The following is an 8,724-nucleotide window of genomic DNA, read 5'->3' as shown; positions in this document are numbered from 1 at the left end:
GTGCAGTGGTGTGATCACAGATCATGGCAACCTCCACCTCCCCAGGCTCAAAAGGTCTTCCCACCTCAGTCTCCCCAGTAGCTGGACTACAGGTGTGTGCCACCATGCCCAGCTAATTTTTGCATGTTTTATAGAGACAGGGTTTTACCATGTTGCCTATGCTGGTCTTGAACTCCTTGGCTCTGTGATCCACCCACCTCAGCCTCCTAAAGTGCTAGAATTATAGGCGTGAGCCACTGTACCTGGCCAAGATGCATTTTCTTACATCTAAATCTTGCCCTTTTCTGCTTGGTCACTTTTGGATATTCAGAATGTCTGCTCAGTGCTCTTTAGTAAGTAAAGGATCCTTTGACCTTTTCAATTTAGATTGATTAAGATGGTCTCATTGCCTAAATACCTTACTTAATGATTATATTTTTGACTCTAGTTATTTGGACTACTTGAAGAAGTACTTTCTCTTCAAGTAACCTCTTCTAAATTACAATAATGTTTTGGAAATTTTAAACATGATTCAGAAGAGTATTTTTTATTTTCAAATCCAGAGAGATATAGGGCTACTAAGTAAAATTTTTTTCTCAATAAGTTATAAAGAAAAAAAATTCAATTTAACAATACTCTGCCAAATAAGTTTGCTTTAATAATAATAATTCTGTTTTGTAGTACTGTGAAATTAAAATATTCTCAGTTGGCTAAATTAAAAAAAAAATTGAAGAACAACTTTTATAAATTAGACCATAATTTATATGTCTATATTATCTCCCAAATCTGGAATCTTAAAGAAAGTTCATCATATTCTCTGAGATGCTTCATTTGAAATGTTCTTGTGTTTTTGTTGACTCAGATTTAGAATTTTAGACAAACATGGGGAAAATACCAAACCTCCTGAGAATTTGGTATTTATCTTGCTCTTTTATTGTTTCACTTGAATTCTCCTCCATTTAACCCTACTCAGTTGAATGATTTTTAGCTTTCTGGTTTTCAAAAAATTACTTTACTCAAGATTTTCTCTAAAATGCTAGGGTTGTAGCCGAACTCAGTTTTGGCTGCCAGCTGCTCAAAAAGCCAGGCATAAGAAACGAGAGTTGGTGGAAAGAAAGCAGGTTTTTTTCAAATATCAGCAGCTGGAAGACTCAAGTCTCAAAAAAAAAAAAAATCTCAGACTTTCAGGCTGGTTACAGGAATTTAAGGGAGAAGGTGGCATGGAAGCTACATGCAAAGTAGCATGGAAGCTACATACAGGAGTAGTGTGCAGGGTGCAGGTCTGCTTGTCATTTTCCAATGGTTATCTTGAATAGTGGACTCTCTGGAGGTCTACTCAGCATCATTCAGGTGGGGTCAGGTTGTGGATTAACCATGCACTCATTTCTTCTCAAACAAGAGAAAATTGTAATCACCATCTCTACTTCATGCTTGGATTGTTTAAAGATTAGCCTTTGGAATTTCTAAGGAAACAGGTATTTAGATATATGTGTAACAAGAAACAAGCAAGGGATGTGTTACTTTCTTAAAAAAAGCAGGCTAGATGACTGGCTGTACTGATTCCAGACTCCCCTCTGTCAATGTCCATTCCATTTCTATGGGATACGGGGGCATAGACTTCATTCGGACTGCTTCCTGCTGACAGAGGGCCTAGTTAGGGAGCTAAAGAATGCAATTTATTTACCTGGAGTTGGAAATAATCATGAGGTCTTGGACCCATAGAAGCAATGTGTTGAATCATTGCATGAGGATTTAATAGTCTTTGAGAAAAGCAGTCTTGCAACTCATGCATATTGTCCAGAAAGAGTACAATCCACAGCAAAGAAGAATGCCTATTCTTATAATCATAGCAAGGGTTACTGATAATTTTCTCCACCAGGAGGGTCCTGGCCCAAACCAGGAAGATAACCATTGACATAGTGACATCATAAGGTTGGACATTAATTCACTTATGCATGTCTTGGAGGGCTAGGGAAACATTTTGTGAATTAGCTAGAATATACATGTGCAAGAGTGGTGTAGAGTGCAGATCTGCTTGTTACTCTTCAAAGCCTATCTTGAGTAATGGACCATCTGGAAGCTTAGTTGGTGTGATTATGGCAGGATCAGGTTATGAATTAACTGCACATCAATTTCTTCTTAGAAGAAAGAAAATTGTAACCACCATTTCACTTCATGCCTGGATTGTTTCAAGATTAGCCTTTAGAATTCCTAAGGAGACAGGTAGTTAGATGTATGTGTAAGAAGAAATAGAGCAATGGGTACTTACTTTGTTCTTAAGGTAAGCTAACAAGCTGGCTCTGCCAGTTACAGGATTGCTATTATAAATCTATGTTTGGCCTTTATTTCTTTGTAATAAAATCTTGCTTCCTTGTATCCTCTGAACATAAACCTAGAAAATTTACCTCTTTATACCAAAAGAATATAAACAAAGAATAGGACTATTTCATTTCATTTGGCTTTAAGATCTTTCGAATCAATGCAACAATTAGGTGTATCTTCTATCCTACTGTAGGAGCCAAGGGAAAACATTCCCTTTGACCTCTGAAGGTTCTGAAAATAAACTGATGAAAGAAAGATTAATAGGAGAAGTGAAGTGGCATACAAATTTATTAATGTGCATGGGAGACTTTACGAAGATTTAAAAGAAATGGCTGTAGGAGTTGATGATTTTATAATATCTTCAGGTTACAGAATTGAATGGGGGCTTGGAGAATGGACAAAAACACGTTACTGTAGTAAATTAGGTTATAGTGGCATGGCAGGTTAGGAGAAGGAGAGAAGTAGAGGCCTGGGGAGCAAAGGCAGTCTTGTTATACAGATGAAACCTCACAAGTAGCAGCCCACAGAAAGAATGGATGGTAAGTGTTTCTTTGAGACCTTAAAGGTGTCAATTTCTCAATTTATCTTTTCTAGACCAGAACAAGGAAAGGCCCACAGAGAAAGCCAAGCTGCATCAAGGCAAATTTTCTCTACAAATGCAGATCTCCTCCATAAAAGATAGCTTTTTAGATATTCTAACATTTCCAGCTTTTCCGAATAACCATCTTGAAATATGTCGAAGAAGTATGTTTTGGAGTGAAAGAATTTGGTTTCCTTCAATATATCAAAACCATCTCTAAAATTATATCCACATGAGGACCATAATTTAATCAACGGGGCAATAGACTCAGCAGTTACACAAAAAAATAGAAGGAAATTTGCCTTTTTAAGAAAAGATAAACTTGCTTGAACATGTATAAGATTTTTGAAGGAAAGTGCCATCTGACTCTCATTTTTACTAAAGAGAAATGTTTACCAGTCCTTTGCTGGTGAACCGTTTTTACAACTTTTAAATATATCTAGTTGCTTAATGTTCATTTTGTTTAAAAATAAATGTAAGGTGGCTTTTTATACTTAATCATGTGTACAGAGCAATAACAAAAAAGTAAATTATTTTTGCTTGATTTAATAGCTCCTAGTTATCTTACCTTTAGTTGAAATAAACTGTCCTTTGAGCTTTTATAACCAGCAGCTGCATTTTGACTAGCAAGTTCCTCCAGTCTCTATTCTAACATGAAAAGCTAATATGTGCCCTTAATAAAGCCATAGAATTTGATTTCAGCAAAGGAATGTTACATGTGAACTGAGCTGTTTTAAGATTTTGTTGATAATAGTTGTAAAAAGGTATAGTTCATGAAGAGACAAATTATCTTTCTTGATTCTATCTCTAAAGGAATAGTCCATATCTTCAAATATGCCAATGGGTCTTTCTCCCTTATGGAACTTAAACGTACTGACTCAGAAGGCCTTAATGTGTCTATCAGCTTGACTAAACTTTAGACAGGCTTCTGCCTTCTTCAGGCCCATACTTTCTTTTTTTCTTAAAGCATTTATTTTAGATTATTTGTAGTTTTTTCGCTATCCCTTTGAGATGTAAATTTTTAAAAAATTTCTTGCCAGTTTTACAACCAATAAATGTCTTTCTTAAGGCCCTAGAGACCATCTCGTTTAAATGGGATCAGAAGGAAAATAGTGCCAGTATCTCTCAGTTGTTATGGGAAGGTAGAAGCCTAACTCCAATGAGAAAACACAGAAAACCGAATCACAGAGAAAAACATTTCCAAAGTCAGGAGTAACTCAAGGTGCTCCACACACGCCAAGGATCAGCTTCCTCTCTGAAGTCCTCCAATATTCTTCAGCTAACTCAGCCCAGCACTTAAAACTTCTCCAGTCCTTTATTTCAACAGATTGAGTTCAGACTCAGCTATGGCCTATCTTCCCTATCACAGAAGCCTTGAAAAAGCTCTTGCTTGCCTGTTAAAGTTTGTCCAGTGCAGGTTTGTTTTGATGGTATCTAAAACTTCTATTTGATGTGTTCAATTTCCTGATGTTGCAATCATTTTTTAAGTGACATTTTTGTTGGGAGTTAACAAAGCTTTTTTTAGTTCTCATTCCAACAAAGATACACCCTGAGAGAGGCATGAAATTAAAGAAACTTGTATATTTTAATAGCACTTTGAACCCCTCAGAGAGATTTCACTTATATTCAGAAGAATACCTTCAAGTGACCAAAAAAAAAAAAAAAAAAAAAGAAAAGAAAAGAAATTAAAATCCCCCCTAGCCTACTTACACAGCTTCAGAACTGGACAAAGCTACAGATCTGGACCCAGGGAGAATTGAAAAATGGACTATGTGTTAAAAGCAGGGGTCAGTTCCCATCTTTACTGAAAGCCTAGAGTTACCCATGGATCCAAAGATTTTAAGTTTATTTCAGAAATAAGAGATGACCTATAAAATATTCTCATGGGAATAAAAAAAAAATTCTAATACTTCTTTGGGGTCAGTTTATTCTGTTTTATCATTCAATTTACCTCCAGGTAAAAACAACTTTCTGGGTTAGTAAAGGGAACAGTATACAAAATTGCTATTTAAAAAAAAATTTAAGGAAAACTGACTGCCTCTCAGTATCTCTTGTCAACCCTAATATATCCAATTAGCAGAAAGTTTGTGTCAAGAGGAAAATTCAGAAGAAAAATTGAATATCAAAGGATTTATAGATGAAATGTAAGACGAGCTTAATGGGGGAATTGGGCAGTGAGTATTAAGAATAATTAGGAAAGCATTATCATTATGATTAAGACTCTGATGACTAATTTTTGACTCCGTTCAAAATCTTTGCAGATTTTTTTATTTCTCCAACTCTTTGAAAAACTTTTTTCATCCAGATTCTTTATGTTTTATCCTAACAACAGTAGTGACTTAAGAAATTAGTTACCAAATTCTTCCTGCTGAAAATATCTTGCCTAAATTATTTGATCAATACAACTGAAGGCAGCAGTGGCCCATGTGGAGCAGCTGCTGCAAGAACTCCAGCTGCAATGTGGGAGGTGTGGCCAGAGCTGAGCACTCTCTGGAGCCAGCAGGAGCCACAAACAAGTGGGAGCCCTGCCCCCTTCTGAGTTGGTGAGGTAGGAGCCCTGCCCTCCTGGTTGCAGCTACAGCTGCCCAGCTGGGGCTGTGGACCCGGTCATCCCTGCACTCCTGGGGGCTCAGAAAGTCTCCCTGCCCCAGCAGGCTCAGAAGTGCCTGCCCCTGCTGCCTGGCCTCTCCCTGCTTCCAGCACCTGCTGGGAATTCACAGCAAAGTTGAGGCTGAACCAGAGTGCTGTCTCAACCCAGCCGGGTATGCGGTGCTCAGGGTGGCGCTGACACACCAGCCCCTGTCACCTTGGTATCTTCCAGACTTTGGGCACTGACAAGCATGGGAGGGGGGCTGAGGAGGTGATGAGGGTGGTTCATGGTGGGCCTGCAGGTGCCTTTCAGCAGGAATAGCTTGTGTGCCATCGATGACATGATTGGCAGGAGTCAGACAGGCTACTGGGTGAAAAGAGGTGGGTCCCCAGTGAGCCCCACCTTCCAGCCAAGAATGTCCTGAAGCATGGGGGCTGGACTGTCAGTTCCGAGTGGATTCTGCAGCCTGGAGTGAGAATTTATGGTTCTTTATCCGGGCCCACCCATGGCTGCCCATGGACCAATCATCACACACTTCCTCCCTTCTGTGCCCATTAACACCTCTGCCACCCGCCACTCAGCCAGGCTCAAACAGATTTCCGGTTGACCTGCTTGCAGAAAGGAGCTACCAACTGCAGGTCTCCTTCCTGCTGAGAGCTGGACACTCTTTGGGACAACTTGCCTTCAGAAAGGAGCTACCCCTGAAGGTCTTCTCTCCACTGAGAGCTGGACACTCACTGGGACGACCTGTTTGCAGAAAGGAGATACCCACTGCAAATCTCCTGAGAGCTGTTCTGTCACTCAGTGAAGCTCCTCTCCGCCTTGCTCACCCTGCAGTTGTCCACATACCTAATTCTTCTTGGACACAGGACAAGAACTCGGGACCCACCTAATGGCAGGACTGAAAAAGCAGTAACATAAACAGGGCTGAAACACCCCTCCCCACCACCAAGCACCACTACTTGCTCTGTTGTAGGCAACGAGAAGGAGAGAAGTGCTGCAGCCCTTTGAGGAGCCAAGACCTAGGGGCTCCCCAAGCTAGTGGTGTGACACCCTGTTTGGGTCTCTGCAGTTCCTGGCATCTCCAAGCTTCTGGGAACCACTGCATTTTCCTCCACATGGGTGCCTGCAGCAGAAGCCATGTGCAATACATCTTGTCCAGCCACAGCCTCACATGGAGCCGGCACCTATGCCAGCGCTTGGAGCTGTCCATCTACTGTAGCAGGCAGCATGCTTGGCTGTGCACACTGGCCAGATCCTGCACTCACTTGCTCACACACCCCTTACCGCTCCACACGTAACTGGCCCTTGGTAGATGTGGAATCCGGGCTGGTAGCGTGAGCTAAGCACAGCCTGTCACGCTAAATGAGTGGAAGGACCCCGGTGGGCGCAAGCGATACTCAGGCAGAAGGTGCTGTGGACAGCAGGGCTTTCAGCTGGTGAAGTGACACCCCAAGGATCCTGTGACACAAATATATCTGTGTATTAGTTCTTTCACTTGGTTTTGTCACTAGAGAAGTAGACAAATTATATTAGGTGTGAAAAAGACATGGTGGGACAAATTAAAGGAAATGCTAGTGATACTAAAATCATAGGCATGGTCTCAACTATTGTTTTATTGTAAATGTTGCTTGATTCTATTAAAATGGCCCTTATTATAAAACAGATACTTTATTCTTAATGCTACACTATGAATTTAATGACATATTTTAAAATTGAAAATAATTAGTTTTTGCTATTTCTATGCATACTGGGTATTTTAAAATATTACATATGACTACTCTCAATGTCCTCTCACAAAAATGAAAATTCAAAATATTTTTATTTGCCTCTTTCCTCCAACCAATACTCAGTACCACTGCCATTTGGATAATAAACTTTAACAGATAAAACGTTTATAAAAGACATAATAAATAACTCTTAATATCCAACACTCATAATTTTAAATTATAGATCATTTTCTGGTAGTATGACATTACAGAACGAGTATGAGTCAGTTCCAGAAAATTAAATGGCATGTCATTGATTATGTTTAATTTAAAAGCAAACTCTCATTTCCTTTCATCCTTAATGCTTGCTCAGTCTTAGAGTGGGATGAACGTCTCAGTCACTACTAACTCTTCACTTTCTTAAAGTATATAGCAGTGGATGGGGTGAGATTTGAAGGCCCATAGAAGCACATTCTAAGGGACACTTGGTATTCTATTTTGGGCAATATAACTGAAGGCTGCAATGTGAATTGTCTTCTTAGATCGACTGTTATTACATAGCAGATTCTTGAGTGAATAGGGCTAAAGACCCCTTAAAAGACTTTAAACAAGGCATACATTTTCATCATGACCTGGACATTAAAACAAAAATGGCAAGTGGCCTGCAAATTTAGTTCGATCAATCAACAGTTTTACAAGTGAGTTAAGGACTTTTTTTGACATGATCAATCCTCTTAGCAATAGCAGTAGGTATAACAATATAGATTTAAAGAGAGTAAATTAAATATACAGATGTCTTTGAACAAATATCCTGGTGACTTTATGTGCTAAGTACTAGCCACATCAATTCATTAATCACTGAACATTTGATATTGCTAAATTATTTCTATTGGCCTAGGAATTGAAAAAAGTATAGCTGTAGGCCAAGCTCTGCATATGAGTTACTATATATAACCCTGAATATGTATTCTAACTCTTACAGGATTCAGTTTTTTTCATCTGTAAAACAAGAGCCATGATTGGATAATCATTATGACCTTTTCAGATTTAACATGAAAGTAGAATGTAAGCATATTACATTTAATAAAAGGCTGAGAAAAAATCTAAGGCAATAGCGATTACAAAAAATTACACATGACAAAGACCTTAATTAATGACTTCATTTATAATTCATACTTGCTGTGAACCAGAAACGTACATTTAAATATAGGGCTAACAAAAGAAATTGACATAATCTTTTTTTAAAAAAATTATTTTATAGTATAAATAACAAATTTAATATCAATGTAATGAGAAAAAAACTCAAAACTTCTAACTAGTGTTATAAATATGTATTCACTATATTCACTATAGTTCAAAATTGCTAGGCACTAAAATGACTACTATGGTTTTGTACATTCATTAGACTGGGTAATGAATATGAATTTTAGTTATTCAAGGCTTTTGTAAGAGGAACTAGAGGTCAGATCTCAAGTCTGCGCTCAACTCTACTGAAACAAAGAGCTAGAGAGTTTTTAGGAATTAGAATGAGAATATCATAGGCC

General features: G+C 38.6%; 1 annotated feature.

Moving 5' to 3' along the window:
* Positions 5,550–6,050: an enhancer, noted in NCBI's record as "H3K4me1 hESC enhancer chr3:94593556-94594056 (GRCh37/hg19 assembly coordinates)". NCBI's record gives its function as "activates a minimal SCP1, AML or CMV promoter by ChIP-STARR-seq in primed H9 embryonic stem cells {active_cell/tissue: H9 hESC(primed)}" and the evidence as "EXISTENCE:reporter gene assay evidence [ECO:0000049][PMID:30033119]".

This window comes from Homo sapiens, chromosome 3 (assembly GCF_000001405.40).
Source record: "Homo sapiens chromosome 3, GRCh38.p14 Primary Assembly".
NCBI classification, from domain to species: Eukaryota; Metazoa; Chordata; class Mammalia; order Primates; family Hominidae; genus Homo; species Homo sapiens.
Note: the sequence above shows the minus strand (reverse complement) of the source record. Positions and strands in the feature narration are given on the sequence as shown.